Genomic DNA, 17524 nt, shown 5'->3' on the forward strand with positions numbered 1-17524 from the left:
AAGCATAAAAATGGAAAAGAACTGCCTCTGTTTGCAGATGACATGATTGTTTAACACAAAAAATCCCAAATAATGCGCAAATAACTACTAGATTAAATTCTAATAAAAATGTCTTTAGGATTGAAGGATACATCAATATACAAAAGTCAATTGTATTTTCATATTCTAGCAGCAAAAGACTGGTAAATACAATTTAGAAACAATTCCATTTATAATGGCATAAAAAATAAAATGTATTTAGGAATAAACTTAACAGACAATGTATAAGACCTGTACAGTGAAAAGTATAAAAGACCTAGGTAAAAGGCTAGCTATACTATGTTCATAAACTAGAAAAATGTTGTTAAGATGTCAATTTTCTCAAAACTGATACGTAAATTAAACTTACTCCCATAAGGATTCTAGCGTTTGTCGTAAGAATTTTTAAATAAAACGAACAAAAAGAACAGAAAGCATGACACCCCTGCTTATATGCTCATCTGATATTTGAAAAAAAGTACCAAAGCAATCCAGCAGAGGCAAGAAATGCCTTTTCAATAAATAGTGCTGATATAACTTGATATCCATATGGGGGGAAAAAAGTTTTAGTTCTTATATTACACCATATACAAAATTAATTTGAAGACCAGGCACACTGGCTCATGTCTGTAATTCCAGCACTTTGGGAGGCCAAGGCAGGGGGATCACTTGAGTTCAGGAGTTCAAGAGCAGCCTGGGAAACATAGTGAGACCCCATTTCTATAAAAAATTAAAAAATTAGCCAGGTGTGGTGGTGCTTGCTTATAGTTCCAGCTTCTTGGGAGGTTGAGGTGGGAGGATCACTTGAGCCTGGGAGGTTGAGGCTGCAGTGAGTCATCCCTGCCACTGCATTCTAGCCTAGGTGACAGAGCAAGACCGTCTCAAAAAACAAAACAACAGGAATGGGCGCAGTGGCTCATGCCTGTAATCCCAGCACTTTGGGAGGCTGAGGCAGGCAGATCACTTGAGGTCAGGAGTTAAGAGACCAGCCTGGCCAACATGATGAAACCCCGTCTCTACTAAAAATACAAAAATTAGCCAAGCATAGTGGTGTGCACCTGTAGTCCCAGTTACTCAGGAGGCTGAGGCACGAGAATCACTTGAACCTGGGGAGTAGAGGTAGCAGTGAGCCAAGATCGTGCCACTGCACTCCAGCCTGGGTGTAAGAGTGAGACTCTGTCTCAAAAAAAAATTTATTTCCAATGTCTCATAGACCTAAATATAAAAGCTAAATCTAGATAGCTTTTTTTTTTTTTTTTGTCTTTTTAAATTTTGAGCAACGGTCTTGCTCTGTTGCCCAGGCTGAAGTGCAGTGGTGCAAACATGGCACACTGCAGCCTTGCCGTGCACGGCTGCAAGTAGCTGGGACCACAGGTGTAGGCCACCATGTCTGGCTGATTTTTTAATTTTTTTGTAGTCATGGGGGTCTCACTATGTTGTCCAAGCTGGTCTCGAATTCCTGGACTGAAGGGATTCTCCTGCCTTAGACTGATAAAGTGTTGAGATTATAGGCATGGGCCACTGTGCCTGGCTCAATGTAGCTTTTTTTTTTTTTTTTTGACATAGAATCTCGTTCTGTTGCCCAGGCTGGATGGAGTGCAGAGGTGTGACCTCGACTCACTGCAACCTCCGTCTCCCGGTTCAAGCAATTCTCCTGCCTCAGTCTGCTGAGTAGCTGGGATTACAGGCACCCACCTGGCTAATTTTTTTTTTTTTTTTTGAGACGAAGTCTTGCTCTGTCGCCCAGGCTGGAGTGCAGTGGCACGATCTTGGCTTACTGCAACCTCCGTCTCCCGGGTTCAAGCAATTCTCCTGACTCAGCCTCCCAAATAGCTGGGATTATAGGCATGTGCCACCACGCCCGGCTAATTTTTTGTATTTCTAGTAGAGATGGGGTTTCACTGTGTTAGCCAGGACGGTCTCAATCTCCTGACCTTGTGATCTGCCCGCCTCGGCCTCCCAAAGTGCTGGGATTACAAGCATGAGCCACTGCGCCCGGCCATAATTTTTGTATTTTTAATAGAGACAGGGTTTTACCATATTGGCCAGGCTGGTCTCGAACTCTTGACCTCAAGTGATCCGCCTGCCTCAGCCTTCCATAGTGCTGGGATTATAGGCATTAGTCACCGCACCCAGCCCAGAATTATTTATTATTATTATTTGAGACGGAGTCTTGCTCTGTTGCCCAGGCCAGAGTACAGTGGCACGATCTCGGCTCACTGCAACCTCTGCCTCCTGGGTTCAAGCGATTCTTGTGCCTCAGCCTCCTGAGTAGTTGGGATTACAGGCATGTACCACCATGCCCAGCTAATTTATTTTTTTTTGAGACGGAGTCTTGCTCTGTTGCCCAGGCTGGAGTGCAGTGGCGTGATCTCGGCTCACTGCAAGCTCCGCCTCCCGGGTTCATGCCATTCTCCTGCCTCAGCCTCCCAAGTAGATTGGGCTACAGACGCCCGCTGCCATGCCTGGCTAATTTTTTTGTATTTTTAGTAGAGACCAGGTTTCACTGTGTTAGCCGGCATGGTCTCGATCTCCTGACCTCGCGATCCACCCGCCTCGGCCTCCCAAAGTGCTGATATTACAGGCATGAGCCACTGCACCCGGCCATGTCCAGCTAACGTCTTATATTTTTAGTAGAGAAACGGTTTCACCGTGTTGGTAAGGCTGGTCTTGAACTCCTGGCCTCAAGCGATCCACCCACCTCGGCCTCCCAAAGTGCTGGGATTCCACGCGTGAGCCACCGCGCCCGGCCTCCATACAGCGCTTAGAGGAGAACCGAGTAGAAGATCCTCATCACTTGGGATTTTTAGCCCTCATAAAGTAATAACCATAAAAGAAAAGCAGGATAAATTGATTTCATGAAAATTAAAACCTTTTGCTTATCAAAAGATATTAAGAAAATGAATAGGTAAGACACAGGCTTTGTGAAAATATTCACAAAACATGTATCTGACAAATTACTTACATCCAGAATACATAAGGAACTCAACAAGAAAATAACTCAAGAAAATGGGAGGAAGATGTGAAAAGATCCTTCATAAGGAAGATAGGCAAAAAAGTCAGTAAGCATATGAAAAAGTATACAACTTCAGCTGGGCATGGGGGCTCACGCCTAGCACTTTGGACGAGTGAGGCAGGAGGACTGCTTGAGCCCAGAAGCTGGAGACCAGCATAGACAACATAGCAATACCTTGTCTCTACAAAAAATTGTAATAAAATGAGCCCAATGTGGTGGCACACACCTGTAGTCTCAGCTACTTGAGAGGCTGAGGCAGGAGGATTGCCCGAACCCAGGAGGTCAAGTCTGCAGTGAGCTGTGATTGTGCCACTGCTCTTTGGCTTGGGTGATAGAGCAAGACCCTGTCTGAAAAAACAAAAAGCATACAACTTCATTAGTCATCAGGGAGATACAAATTAAAGCCAAAAATGATATATCACCAGTCACCACACACCTACCAGAAAGAGGATGTGAAGCAATGGGAAGTGTCATAATTGTTGGAGTCTAACAAAATCATCTTTGGAAAAAGCTGTAGGGCAGGGGTATCCTGGGCCACGATGGAAGAAATGCCTTGGGCCACGCGTAAAATATAATAGCACCAACTATAGATGATGAGCTTAAAAAAAAGCGGGGGGCAAAAAAGCTCATAATGTTTTAAGAAAGTTTACGAATTTGTGTTGGGCTGCATTCAAAGCATCCTGGGCTGCGTGCAGCCTGTGGGCCACGGGTTGGACAAGCTTGGTCCAGGGGATCTCTAATAAAAAATGCACATCTAATCTCTGACTCAGCAATTCTAATCCTAGGCATTTACTCAAGTGAAAACACATGTCCAAAAACAGATTTGTGTACAACTATTCACAGCAACTTTATTCATAACAGCTAAAAACTAGAAACAGATTCACTGTCAACCAGATAAACTGTGACATATTCATAAAATGGAATACTACTCAGCAATAAAAAGGAGTGAGCTACTAATATATACTAATATATGTAACAACACAGAGGAATCTCAAAAAGATTAAGCTAAATGAAAAAAGCCTTTCTCAAGAGCATGTACTTATTGTGTGATTCCATTTATATGGGGTTCTAAAATAGGCAAATCTAATCTTGGTGGAAAAAATCAGAACAGAGCTTGCCTCTGGGGACAGAGGTGGAGATAAGGGATTATAATATAATTATATGATTATTTATATATACACACACACACATATATGTATATATGTACATGTCTGTCTGTGTGTGTGTGTGTGTGTGTGTGTGTGTGTGTGTGTGTGTGTGTGTGTGTGTGTGTGTAGAGAGAGAGAGAGTATCACCCAGGCTGGAGTACAGTAGCATGATTTTGGGCTCACTACAGCCTTGACCTCCTGGGCTACTAAAGCAGCTCTCCCGAGTAGCTGGGTCAACAGGTGCTAGCCACTACATTTGGCTAATTTTTGTATTTTTTGTGGAGATGGGGTTTCGCCATGTTGCCCAGGCTGGTCTTTTCTTTTCTTTTCTTTTGAGATAGTCTCACTCTGTCGCCCAGGCTGGAGTGCATGGCGCAATCTCAGCTCATTGCAACCTCTGCCCTCCTGGGTTCAAGCAATTCTCATGCTTCAGCTTCCTGAATAGCTGGGATTATAGGTGCCCGTCACCACATCCAGCTCATTTTTGTATTTTTAGTAGAGACGGGGTTTCACCATGTTGGCCAGGATGGTCTCGAACTCCTGGCTGCAAGCAATCTGCCCGCCTTGGCCTCCCAAAGTGCTAGGATTATAGGCATTAAAAAAATTATTTAAAAGAAGAAAAAATGGATGGATGGGTGGATAGATGGGGGAAGAGAGGGAGAGAGAGAAATAAACAGATAACATGATAAGACAAATACAGTAAAATGAGAATCACAGCATGTAGGTACTGGGTATAAGTGAGCTCACTGGAGAATGTTCAACTTTGCTGTATAATAAAATGTTGGAAAATCAATCACATCACTAAAAAAATAAAAAGACAATATCTGGAAGCAGTGGACCTAGTCAGATTAAAAAAAGAAAATCTGCATCAATCCCTGTTGCCGTCACTAAACAGCTGTCTCATTAGCTATTAAGGAAAACACAGTGTCAGAGGGCTGGTTTTGCCATGTAAAAGAAGTCTTCAGCTTGCTGTGTCCTAACACTGGATCGCATATAAATCCCCAAATTCTAAAGGCTAGAAAGGTTTAAAATGTAGATGCAGCTTCAATATCCAGGAGGCAGAACTAAGAACAAGAGATGTAAATCTAGCTCTGGCAGTGGGAAGCGGGGCGGGGGGCAATGGCGAAGCTAAGTTAGAAGCCGCGAGCCACTTAGCCTCTCCAGCTCCAGTAGTTCTGTGTCTGGACGTCGGCCCCATATACTGGCTTAAAACCTCAAGATACTAGAGGATCTCACCAGTGGGAGGTGCCAGAGCAGCTGAAACATGTCCCTGTAAACAATAAATGTTTATCTGGGCAGATAACCTGGCAGACAGCCTTATTCTCATCTTAGGCAACTCGAAACTCCACAACAGGAGACTGAGCACAGAGGGGCCCCTTCCTCTTTGCCACATGGGTAGGAAGCAGAGATGGAGGTGGTCCTGGCTCCTACCACATGAGGGGTGGCAGAAAGCCACTCTCTGTAAATGCCAGCTTCTTCCCTGCTGGATGATGGCCAGATTCCCTTAAACACAGAGGGTGGGGACAGAGAAGTCAAGTGAAGCAACGCTAGACAATGCTGCCGCATAACGCTGGCTGCTCCACCGCAGCCCTGAAGGTATGAGGAAACCCTGGCGTGTTGGCGGCTGCCTCAGGAACCGCGCTGGCTAAGGGCTTCCCCAGGCCTGGGTGGGAGGCTTGTCACTGACTCTGGCCACACACATAGGCTTGGTCGCCACCTCGGTCAGTGGCAAACAGCTGCTGAGAGGGGAGGGGAGGAGTAGACCCAGGGGTGCTGTGTGCTGCACAGCCAAATCTTCCACTTCTGGAGACTCCAAACGATATTCCTAAGAGCCATATGGCTTAAACCCCATGGAGGTACCAGGAAAAAGGCAGTACGACGGAAAGAGGCAGCTGGAAGGAAGGAATGGAAGTGTGTTAACGGCACAGAAACTCCTTTCATTGACAATTAACTGCAAACAATTTTATTACCAGTTCTGAAACCCCAATCCCTAACTGATGAATTAAATCTTGGCAATGGTTATTCCTCCCACCTATACACTTCTGCCCACACTCTTCTTGGAAGGAGAGAGGACAGGGAAGTGAAACCCACAGTATGCCAAAAGGGAAGTCGAGCTCTCATTCATAAGACTACTAAGCTCTCTCCCAGGGAAGAGAATGGAGATGGCACAACAAAGGCTCTTTGCTCTGAAATAGCACCGAAGTGAAGCCCGGCAGAGCCAGGGTGTGGATCTTGGATGGAGTGCAGAGGAGGAGTGTGTTTGTGTATATGTTTGTGCTCATCTGGTTTTTGTTGGGGGAAGGTGACAATTCATTCTTTTGATTTCATTCAAACTTAGAGCTGCTTTTATAATCACTTCCTGAAAACAGAGCAGGAAGAGAGTGCTATCTGCTCACCCCACCCTCCATTTAACACTGCCCCAGCAATCCAACTATGTGCTTTACACTGAGAGGCCAGCTTCTTGCCTTTGGCAGCACTGAAGGCCAGACATTACCAGCACTCCTGTGTACAGCTCAAGGCTCCACCCAAATCAGACTGCACACACTGAATCCAAGAGGAATATCATTCCAGAACAACAACCCAGGAGAGAGAGAGGAGAGCTGAGCAGGCTGGGTGGGACAGTTGGGGCACTTCTAACTTCTGACACCAGGACACCCAAGTGGTTGGCAGAGGCATTTTGGTAGTGCGGTGACAGATCAACTGTAGTGTGGGAAATCCCAAATGCTACAGTAAAGAAGTTATCTCTGTACAAAGAAAGGGGTGACAATAAGGGTGGGGTACAGGCCACAGGGCAGTAAGGTAGAGAAATCAGTTTTAGCGAACTGGCTAACTACTGGGTTAGTCCAATTCTGAATACACAAGTAATATTCTAGCCTCTTTTCAGGAGAGACTGATGTAGAGTAGTCATGGGCAGGCCAGGGAACAAAGTTCCATTTCTGGCCTAAAGTGGATTGGAGGGTTCCTCCGCAGAGAGTCGTAACAGAGTGTTTATATAAAACCCCACAAACCCACTGCTCCTGGCTGTCCAAGGCCAAAGGCATCTTCTTCCTGGAGAGCTGTGTCTCTTACCCTCTAGGCTCTAAGACTCCCTATTTTACTTAGTCAGGTTTCCTGTTTACTCTGAGACCTGTGATCTCCCCGGGGAGTCATTAGAGAGAAGCTGGGGAAGGGGCAGCAGGGAGACGGAACAGTACTAAGGACACAGGTCTTCCGCATCCTACCATTACTTCTTACATGGCAGAAAAACGAATGGACACTGAAAGGGGGTTTCCTGGTTTAATTAATTATTTACAGCGTTTATTCTTTATTTTTTGTTTCTAACGTGCAGGCATCTCTTAGACTGCTGACCCTCAAGGAAAATGCAATTGGGAGCACAACCATGATTGGCACCGAAAGGCATTTTTTGTTGCTGTTCCCATGAGAACCCCATCAGAATGATGAACAAGGTACATACGCTGCTATAAAATAATCAGCATCTCCATTTGGAGAAGGAATTTCTTTTAAAAACACCTCATTTGGGGCACTATGGTCTCTTCTTCTATGGAAATAGGAAGAGGCAGAAGGAGTTCCATTCCTGCCAGAGCAGAGTCTACTTTTTGCTAATTTTTTGGAAAACAAGAGGTTCTCTTTGGCTCTGGAGAAAAACAGACATTTCCAAAGGGAAAATAGAGAAGGAGACAGGGTCTGATGTGGCAAGACTTGTAGCCCTCTCATATCTCCGAGACAGAGATAACCTGGAGGGACCGAAACCCCCTATTTATTCACCCTTCTAACCATGCATTCCATACAATCCAGACATCCTGAGACCAATGATGATTCAGATACTACAAGGCCTCTGAAGACGTCACTACGATCCTACGATTTAGGAAGAAAAGAAAATCTGAGGATAATTCTCTTGGGCTTGCTGGCCAATAGGATGATGATTAGCTACAATATGGCCAAACAAATTTAAATTTCCTAAAATTGAATATAATTAAAAACGGAGTTCCAATAAATGGAAAAACATTCTATGTTCATGAATTGGAAGACTTAATATTGTTAAGCTGACTACAGTAACCAAAGCAATCTACAGATTCAATGCAGTTCCTATCAAAATCCCAATGGCATTTTCCACAGATCCATAAAAACATCTTAAAATTCATATGGAATCTAGCTGGATGCAATGGCTCATGCCAGTAGTCCCAGCACTCTGGGAGGCCAAAGCGGGCAGATTGCTTGAGGTCAGGAGTTGGAGACCAGCCTGGTCAACATGGCAAAACACCGTCTATACTAAAAATACAAAAATCAGCTGGGTGTGGTGGCGCATGCCTGTAATCCCAGGTACTTGGGAGGCTGAGGCACAAGAATCGCTTGAACCTGAGAGGCAGAGGTTGCAGTGAGCTGACATTGTGCCACTGCACTCCAGCCTGGGAGATGGAGTGAGAACCCATCTCAAAAAAAAAAAAAAAAAAATCATATGGAATCTTAAGGGACCCCATACAGCCAAATTAATCGTGAAAAAGAACAAAAGTTAAAGGGCTCATGCTTCTGGATTTCAAAACTTACTGCAAAACTATACTAATCAAAACGGTGTGGTACTGGCATAGAATAGAACAGAAAACCTAGAAGTAAACTCTCACAAATACAGGGTCAACTGACTTTTGACAAGGGTGTCAAGACCAATTCCAATCTTATGGAAGGAATAGTCTTTTCAATAAAAAGAGCTTAAAAAAACCTGGATATTCACATGCAAAAGAATGAAGCTGAACCCTTACCTAAGACCATATACAAAAACAAATTCAAAATGGATCAAAGACCTAAAAAGAGCTAAAACTAGAAAACTCTTAGAAGAAAGCATAAGGGAAAATCTTTATGACACTGGATTTGGCAATGATTTCTTGGATATGACATCAAAAGCATAGGAAACAAAAGAAAAAAATAAGCAGACCAGACACAGTGCCTCATATTTGTAATCCCAGCACTTTGGGAGGCTGAGGCAGGCAGATCACTTGAGGTCAGGAGTTGAGACCAGACTGGCCAACATGGTGAAACCCCATCTCTACTAAAAATACAAAAACTAGCCAGGTGGGCCCCTGTAATCTCAGCTATTTGAAAGGCGGGGCACAAGAATCACTTGAACCCGGGAGGTGGAGGTTGCAGTGAGCCAAGATCAAGCCACTGCACTCTGGCCTGGGCAACAGAGTGAGGCTCAGTTTCAAAAAAAAAAAAAAAAAAGCAAACTGGACTTTATCAAAATTAAACACTTTTGTGCATCAAAGGTGGAAACTCACACCAGTAATCTCAGCACTTTGGGAGGCTATGGTGGGACGATCACTCGAGGCTGAGGAGTTCAAGAGAAGCTTTGACAACATGGGGAGACCCTATTTCTACACACACACGCACACACATGCACACAGACACAAACATACATGCACACATGCGCACACATGCACACACACACATATACGCGTGAACACACGCGTGCATATAATTAGCTGGGTGTGGTGGTACGTGCTTGTGGTCCCAGCTACTTAGGAAGCTGAGGTGGGAGGATCCCTTGGGCTTGGGAGTTCGAGGCTGCAGTGAGCCGTAATGGTGACACTGCACTCCAGCCTGGGCAACACAGAGAGACCTTGTCTCAAAAAAAAAAAAAAAAAAAAAAAGACAAATATTGCATGATTCTACTTATATGAGATACTTACAATAGGGAAATGCATAGAGCTAGAAAGTAGAAGTTGCCAGGGGAAGGGGGAATGAGGAGTTACTGTGTAATGGTTACGGCGTTTGGAATGATGAAGAGTTCTGGAAATGGATAGTAGTGATGGTCGCACAACACTGTGAATGTACTTAATGCCACTGAGTTGTACACTTAAGAAATGGTTGAAATGGTAAATCCTTTTCCCCCCCTCTTTAAATAGACACTTTATTAGATCCACAGGTGATAAAATCCCAGAGCTACTGTTAGGCACGTAAATATAGACCCTGCTAAATATTTAATATTATCAAGCTTGTATGACTCAAGCATGGTTTTGGGGCCAGCATCCTCAGTTTCTATCTTCCTATCTCTCTGGGTGACGGCCCAATCTTGCTGGGCATGCAATGTCACTATTTCTGTTCTCAATTCCAGCAGCTTCCTTTCATTCAACGAATACAATTCTTTTACTCTGCTCTTTTCTAGGTTGAAGTCTAATTTAGTATCTGTTCGGACTTTAATCACTTCATCCATTACTTGTTTTAACTGATGTAGTTTGAGTTTTATTTTCTCACGTTCTGCTCTGAGGGCTGAAAATTCACTCTTCTCCAAAGTAATCATATCGTTTTTCACATTCACAGTCTGAGACATTATTTGCTGAAGAGCGATCTCCTGCTTCATCTTGGTGGCCATATCTTTGTAGACGATGTCCACGTTGGCCTCCAGTACCTGGACCAATGCAGACACAATGATTTCTGCTTGCTGAGTAGCAAACCCATGGTCTTCCAGAAAGCACACTAAGGAACGAGTGTCAAAGGAGAGCTTCCTACTCCCAGAAGAGCTGAAATCTCTCCTGTGCTCCAGCTGCAGGTATCCAGCAGACTCCTGCAGGAAGTGAGTATAGGCACCATGCTGAAGCATGGGTGAAGGGCGCTGGCAGCAGCAGCGATGCCCAGGGCAAGGCCCCACAGGCACATCCACGCGCCGCTTTGTCCAGCCAGTGGGGCGGCATACCCAAGGCACGAGTGCTCCCAGTCCCCAGGCTGCCGGCACGGAGCAGCGGCGGTCAAGTGCAGGGAGGGCACGAAATGGTAAATTTTATGTTGTGTATATTTTACCACAATTAAAAAAAATCATTTCTTCAGGTAGACCAGCCGCATTTCATGTGTTCAACAGCTACATGCGGCCAGTAGTTACCATACTAGACGGTGTCAAGTAGAACACTTTCCCCACTGCAGAAAGTGGTACTGGACAGGATGGCTCTAGAGTTAGATTAAAAACCACCGGATTCTGATGTCAACGGTATTAACCTATACGCCAATCCAACTGCCTTATGCTGTATTCTGTATGCCACTATCCTGCCAATTTGTTATTCTAACAGCCTCTCCAAGCATTGTATACCCACTATTGCAAACTTGAGGTCAGGAGTTCGAGACTAGCTTGACCAACGTGGTGAAACCCCGTCTCTACTAAAAATACAAAAATTAGCTGGGCGTGGTGGCGTGCACCTGTAGGCCCAGCTACTTGGGAGACTGAGACAGGAGAATCACTTGAACCCAGGAGGTGGAGGTTGCACTGAGCCAAGATCGCGCCACGGCACTCTAGCCTGGGTGACAGAGCAAGACTCAAAAAAAAAAAAAAAAAGAGAGAGAGAGAAAGAAAGAAAGAAAGAGGAAGACAAAAAGACAGAAAAAGAAAGAAAGAAAGAAAATGGCATGCAAGCAGCAGAGTAAAAACCTTTAAGAAAATGAAAGAAATATGTTATCTCCCATGAAACAACTATGAGTCAAGAATATGCTCATTTTGAAGTTTGGGAGAGTACACTGGACTATTTTAGGAAGAAAATGATAGTTTTAAATTAGAATTTTATTACTGGGCTGGGTGGGGTGGCTCACACCTGTAATCCCAGCATTTTGGGAAGCCAAGGCAGGCGGATCGCTTGAGCCCAGGATGGCGAAACCCCATCTTTATTAAAAATACAAAAAAGTAGCCAGATATGGTGGCACATGCCCATAGTCTCAGTTACTCAGGAGGGTGAGGTGGGAGGGGCAAGCCCAGGGAGGTCGAGGCTGCAGTGAGCCATAATCGCACCACTGTACTCCAGCCTGGGCAATGGGAATAAGAACCTATTTTAAAAAAATTATTAATGTGTAACCCCATATAAACAGGTTAAAAAGAAAAACTACACTATCATCAACAGATTAAGAAAAAATATTTAATAAAATTCAGCCCTTATTTGTGATTTAAAGAAAATACTCAGCAATCTAGGAATAGAAGCGAATGGTCTTAACATGACAAGATACACTTATCACAAATCTATGGGCCAGGCATGGTTGGTCACACCTGTAATCCCAGCACTTCGCGAGGCTGAGACAGGCAGACCACTTGAGGTCAGGAGTTCGAGACCAGCCTGGCCAACATGGTGAAATCCTGTTTCTACTTAAAATAAAAAAATCAGCCTGGCGTGGTGGTGCGCTCCTGTAACCACAGCTACTCGGCAGGCTGAGACAGGAGAATCGCTTGAACCCAGGAGGTGGAGGTTGCAATGAGCTGAGATCATGCCACTGCACTCCAGCCTGGGTGACAGAGCAAGGCTCTGTCTCAAAAAAAAAAAAAAAAAAAAAAAAAAAAGAAATCCATGACAAATAGATTTAATAATGTAACTTTAGAAGCATTGCTATTAAAGTTAGAAACATAGAATTTCTATTATTATGGTTACCATTATAGAACAAGACAGTTCAGTAAAGTTGATAGATGTAAGATGAAGATAAAGAAACAGCATTTAGGCTGGGGGCGAGGTGGCTCACATCTGTAATCCCAGCACTTTGGGAGGCTGAGGCGAGTGGATCACGAGGTCAGGAGATCAAGACCATCCTGGCTAACATGGTGAAATCCCGTCTCTACTAAAAAATACAAAAAATTAGCTGGGCGTGGTGGCGGGCGCCTGTAGTCCCAGCTACTCGGGAGGCTGAGGCAGGAGAATGGCGTGAACCCGGGAAGCGGAGCTTGCAGTGAGCCGAGATTGCGCCACTGCAGTCCGCAGTCCGGCCTGGGCGACAGAGCGAGACTCCGTCTCAAAAAAAAAAAAAAAAAAGAAACAGCATTTATATTCATACCATTAATAGTTAACTAGAAAATATGATACTTAAATTAGTAACAAAATCTGTGCGAGGGTTTTATGGGAAATATTACAAAACATCCTTGAAGGGCATAAAAGAAGACCTGAATAAATTAACAGTATATCATGTTCATGGATGGGAAGACTAAATATTGTAAATATGGCAATTGCTCACTGGCTCAATGGAACAGAACAGAGGACTAGGAAACAGGGAAACCTGCTTTACAAAATAAATTCCAAATGGAACAAAGACATAAATGTAAAACCAAAATGAAAACCAAATATTCAGAAGAAAAATTTAAAGTAAAACTAAAACTTTTAGAAGAAAAATATGTTGGTATATATTCTTTATGACCTCAGGGTATGTAAGGTTTCCTTTTTTTTCATGTAAAATTGCAATTACTCTTGGTAATATTTTAACCTAACAATCAAGTGGTTTAAAAAAAAAAAAACATCAAATAGGCCAGGCGGGTGGATCACAAGGTCAGGAGTTTGACACCAGCCTGGCCAACATGGTGAAACCCGTCTCTACTAAAAATACAAAAATTAGCTGGGCGTGGTGGCAGGTGCCTGTAATCCCAGCTACTCAGGAGGCTGAGGCAGAGAATTGCTTGAACCCAGGAGGAAGAGGTTGCAGTGAGCCGAGATCACGCCACTGCACTCCAGCCTGGACGACAAGAGCAAGACTCCGTCTTTAAAAAAAGATCAAATGACAAACTCCTGCACAGAGATAAAAGTAACCCTTTTACCCCACCAAATTATAAGCTCTGGCTTATTATTAAAACAATTGATTTTTATATACAATAAAACTTTAAGCATATTTGCTATTAAATGAATGCCAGTGGTCTTGTTTTAATTAAAATTTTATTATGGAAAATCTCAAACATATATAAAAGGAGAGACTAGAGACTAGTGTAATAAATAAACCTGCTATCATCACCTAGCTTCAACATTTAGCAATATATGGCCAATATTGCACACTCAGAAATGATTTTTTTTTTTTTTGAGACGGAGTCTTGCTCTGTCACCCAGGCTAGAGTGCAGTGGTGCAATCTAGGCTCACTGCAACCTCCGCCTCCCGGGTTCAAGCGATTCTCCTGCCTCAGCCTCCTGAGTAGCTAGGACTACAGGTGCCTGGCCACCATGCCCAGCTAACTTTTTTTGTATTTTTAGTAGAGACTGGGTTTCACTATATAGGCCAGGGTGGTCTTGAACTCCTAACCTTGTGATCTGCTCACCTCGGTCTCCCAAAATGCTGGGGGATTCCAGGCATGAGCCCCCATGCCCAGCCAGAAAGGATTTCTTAAATAAGACATAAACTGGAAAGGAAATGGCTGATTTGTCACACAAATTTTTATGCAAAGAAAATGCTGTAAATTAATTTAAAATTAAACTATAAACTGGGTGATCCACAATGCACATAGCTGACAAAGATTCATATTCAGACTTGCAAATCAATAAAAACCAACCAGCTGGGCACGGTGGCACACGCCTGTAATTCTAGTGTAATTCTAGCACTTTAGGAGGCCAAGGCAGGCGGACCACTTGAGGACACGAGTTCAAGACCAGCCTGGCCAACACAGTAAAACCCCGTTTCTACTAAAAATACAAAAATTAGCCAGGTGTGGTGGTGGGCACCTGTAATCCCAGCTACCCGGGAGACTGAGGCAGGCGAATCCCTTCAACACAGGAGGCGGAGGTTGTAGTGAGCCAAGATGGCACCACTGCACTCCAGCATTGGGTGACAGAGCAAGACTCTGTCTCCAAAAAAAGAAAAAAAAAAGGAACTTTTGAACTCGAGCAATCCTCCTGCCTTGGGCTCTCAAAGTGTCGGGATTACAGGCATGAGCCACCACGCCCAGTGAATTTATTTTGCTTATTTATTTCTTTACTTCTTTGCTCTGTATCCCCATAACTGGAATGTAAAATCTATGAGGTAAGAGACTATGCCTGTCTCATTCACCACAAAATCCCTAGCACTGTGAATGTCTGGTAAATAGTAAGTGTTCAATAAATATCTAATGTTGAATGAACGCGAGAAGTCAAGCCTCAGAGCAACTTAACAGCAGATGCGTCACCCTGGCAGAGAAGCCCAGTCTACATGTGGACTGTCAATTCAAGTGCCGGTTCTCACTGAGTTGTCTATGGGGAAGCGGTGTGGGACGATCAGTGGATGGTGCTCTTACCTGCTACAACTCATAAGAGTACCAGAGGGAGTGGGAGTGAAGAGAAAATACAAAATTGTATTTGGAAATCAAATTTCTATTAACAAGATATAGAAACTTTGAGCCTCTGGATTCTCTGCAGACATCTCATTAATTCCCCAGCACAATTTTCTCATGCAAGTTCCTACATGAGGTACAGGAACTAAACTTTCTAAAAACCTAAAGCATGTCAATCTCTTTTCCTAGCCTCAGGTCTGAGAGAGTGACAGAAGAAGAAAGGGGACAGTGAAGAGAAAAACAAGAAGGCACATTAAATATACTGCCTTTTGTTGTTGTTGAGACAGGGTCTCATTTTGTCACTCAGGGTGGTGGGAACATAGCTCACTGCAGCCTCGACCTCCCAGGCTCAAGCAATGTCCCTGCCTCACTCCCCAGGAAGCTGGGACTACAGGCACGTGCTACCATGTCTGGCTAATTTTTGTATATTTTGTAGAGACGGGGATTCACCATGTTGTAATCCCAGCACTTTGGGAGGCCAAGGTGGGTGGATTACTTGAGGCCAGGAGTTTGAGACCAGCCTGGTCAACATGGTGAAACCCTGTCTCTACTAAAAATACAAAAATTAGCTGGACGTGGTGGCGCATGCCTGTAGTCCCAGATACTCGGGAGGCTGAGGCAGGAGAATCACGTGAACCCGGGAGACAGAGGCTGCAGTGAGCGAGATGGCGTCACTGCACTCCAGTGTGGGTGACAGAACGAGACTCCATCTGGGGGGGAAAAAAAAGTTTAAAAACGTAAAATTCTTAGAATAATATCTAAGACAAAGCAAGTCCTCAGTAAACTGTAGCTTTTACTGTAATTATTCATCTGGGAGAGAGAGAACTTATGTTTAATTCTTTGGAAAAAATGGCAGCCTTCATAACAAGTCAGAGACAATATGAAACAGTGGGAAAGCGCTAGACTAAATATCAAAACACCTCCTGGAGCAGAGTTTGCTAGTTACCTCCCAATCCAGTCTTCCCTTCTTTAGCAAAATAACTTTGATTTTTAGCTAAGAGTATGAGTGCATGTGTGTGTTTTAGACACAGGGTCTCAATATGTCACCCAGGGATGGGATACGGTGGCATGATCATGGCTTACTGCAGCCTAGAACTCCTGGGCTCCAGTGATCCTCCTGCTTCAGCCTCTAGAGTAGCTAGGATTACAGGTACGTGCTAACACATGTGGCTAATAGCTGGATACATTTCTGCCAGCCAGGTGACCATATTTTCAGCTTTTTCTGCAGGTAGGATAGCCATGTGACTCTTGAGATGTAAATAGAACTTTTACGTAAAACCTTGAAGAAGTCTCTTTAAATATATGGGGCATACCCTTTCTGTTTTCTTCCTCCATTAAGCTGCCTGCTGATGCTCTACTAACCATCTTGGGATGGGACCACATTGTAGGATGTTGTATACTGAGCTGGAGGTTCCAGTGTCTGCCAACTTGGGGAAGCCAAGTGGTAGAGCCCGAACACTAGCCCTGGACTGCCTATGTCTAGACTCTTGATGTAAGAGGATAAAACTGTATGTTTAGGCCTCTTATTCACCTAAATCTAATACAAAATGATAGTTCTGGGTTCTGACCTAGTATTGTCATATGATCTCAGATAAATCAGTCTAAGTCTTAATCTTCTCAGCTGTAAAATGTGATAATGCCCACTTTGGGAGGCCGATGTGGGTGGATCACAAGGTCAGGAGTTCGAGACCAGCCTGTCCAATACGGTGAAACCCCATCTCTACTAAAAATACAAAAACTAGCTGGGCATGGTGGTGCACGCCTGTAATCCCAGCAATTTGGGAGGCCGAGGCAGGCGAATTGCTTGAACCCAAGAGGCGAAGGTTGCAGTGAGCCGAGATCGTGCCTACAACCTGGGAGCCTGGGCGATAAGAGCGAGACTCCATCTCAAAAAAAAAAAAAAAAAAAAAAAAAAAAAGATAATGCCTCCTAGAACTGTAGTGGAAATCAAATGAAATAATACATCATGATAGCACTACGGAAAATGCTGATGTAAGTTTTATCTATGAAAATGAAACACTGAGATTGGAAAAGCAAGTGTTAACAATGAAGGCATAAAGACAAAATCACTTTTTAAGAAGTCTATGAAAGGAGGCTGTTTATAAGAGTAGACAAATTCCTTATAGAAGGTCATGAAAATTGATCATGTTGGAGATAATATTCTGAATCCTGCTAAATACACTACTAAATTATCTCAGTAGGAATCTTGTAATTTTCCACTCTTTGAAGTCCATGGCTTCTGATGCTGATTCATTCCTAATTAAATGGCTTTAGCTATTCAAATCCTAGTATCTCCCTCTCAATATCCTCCCTGTCATCATCCCAGACCTT

General features: G+C 43.8%; 1 protein-coding gene and 1 pseudogene across 12 annotated transcripts in view, besides 2 other annotated features; both read right to left on the reverse strand.

Moving 5' to 3' along the window:
- SMG6 (SMG6 nonsense mediated mRNA decay factor) overlaps positions 1–17524 on the reverse strand; it is a 243947-nt gene that overhangs the window by 57499 nt on the left and 168924 nt on the right. The gene's annotated exons all lie outside the window — the stretch shown is intronic.
- Positions 5302–5361: an enhancer, noted in NCBI's record as "active region_11475". NCBI's record gives its function as "activates an Ori minimal core promoter by ATAC-STARR-seq in GM12878 lymphoblastoid cells {active_cell/tissue: GM12878}" and the evidence as "EXISTENCE:reporter gene assay evidence [ECO:0000049][PMID:35858748]".
- Positions 6567–6616: an enhancer, noted in NCBI's record as "active region_11476". NCBI's record gives its function as "activates an Ori minimal core promoter by ATAC-STARR-seq in GM12878 lymphoblastoid cells {active_cell/tissue: GM12878}" and the evidence as "EXISTENCE:reporter gene assay evidence [ECO:0000049][PMID:35858748]".
- On the reverse strand, positions 10068–10938 carry MCUR1P1 (MCUR1 pseudogene 1; annotated as a pseudogene).

Source organism: Homo sapiens, chromosome 17, assembly GCF_000001405.40.
Source record: "Homo sapiens chromosome 17, GRCh38.p14 Primary Assembly".
NCBI lineage: Eukaryota > Metazoa > Chordata > Mammalia > Primates > Hominidae > Homo > Homo sapiens.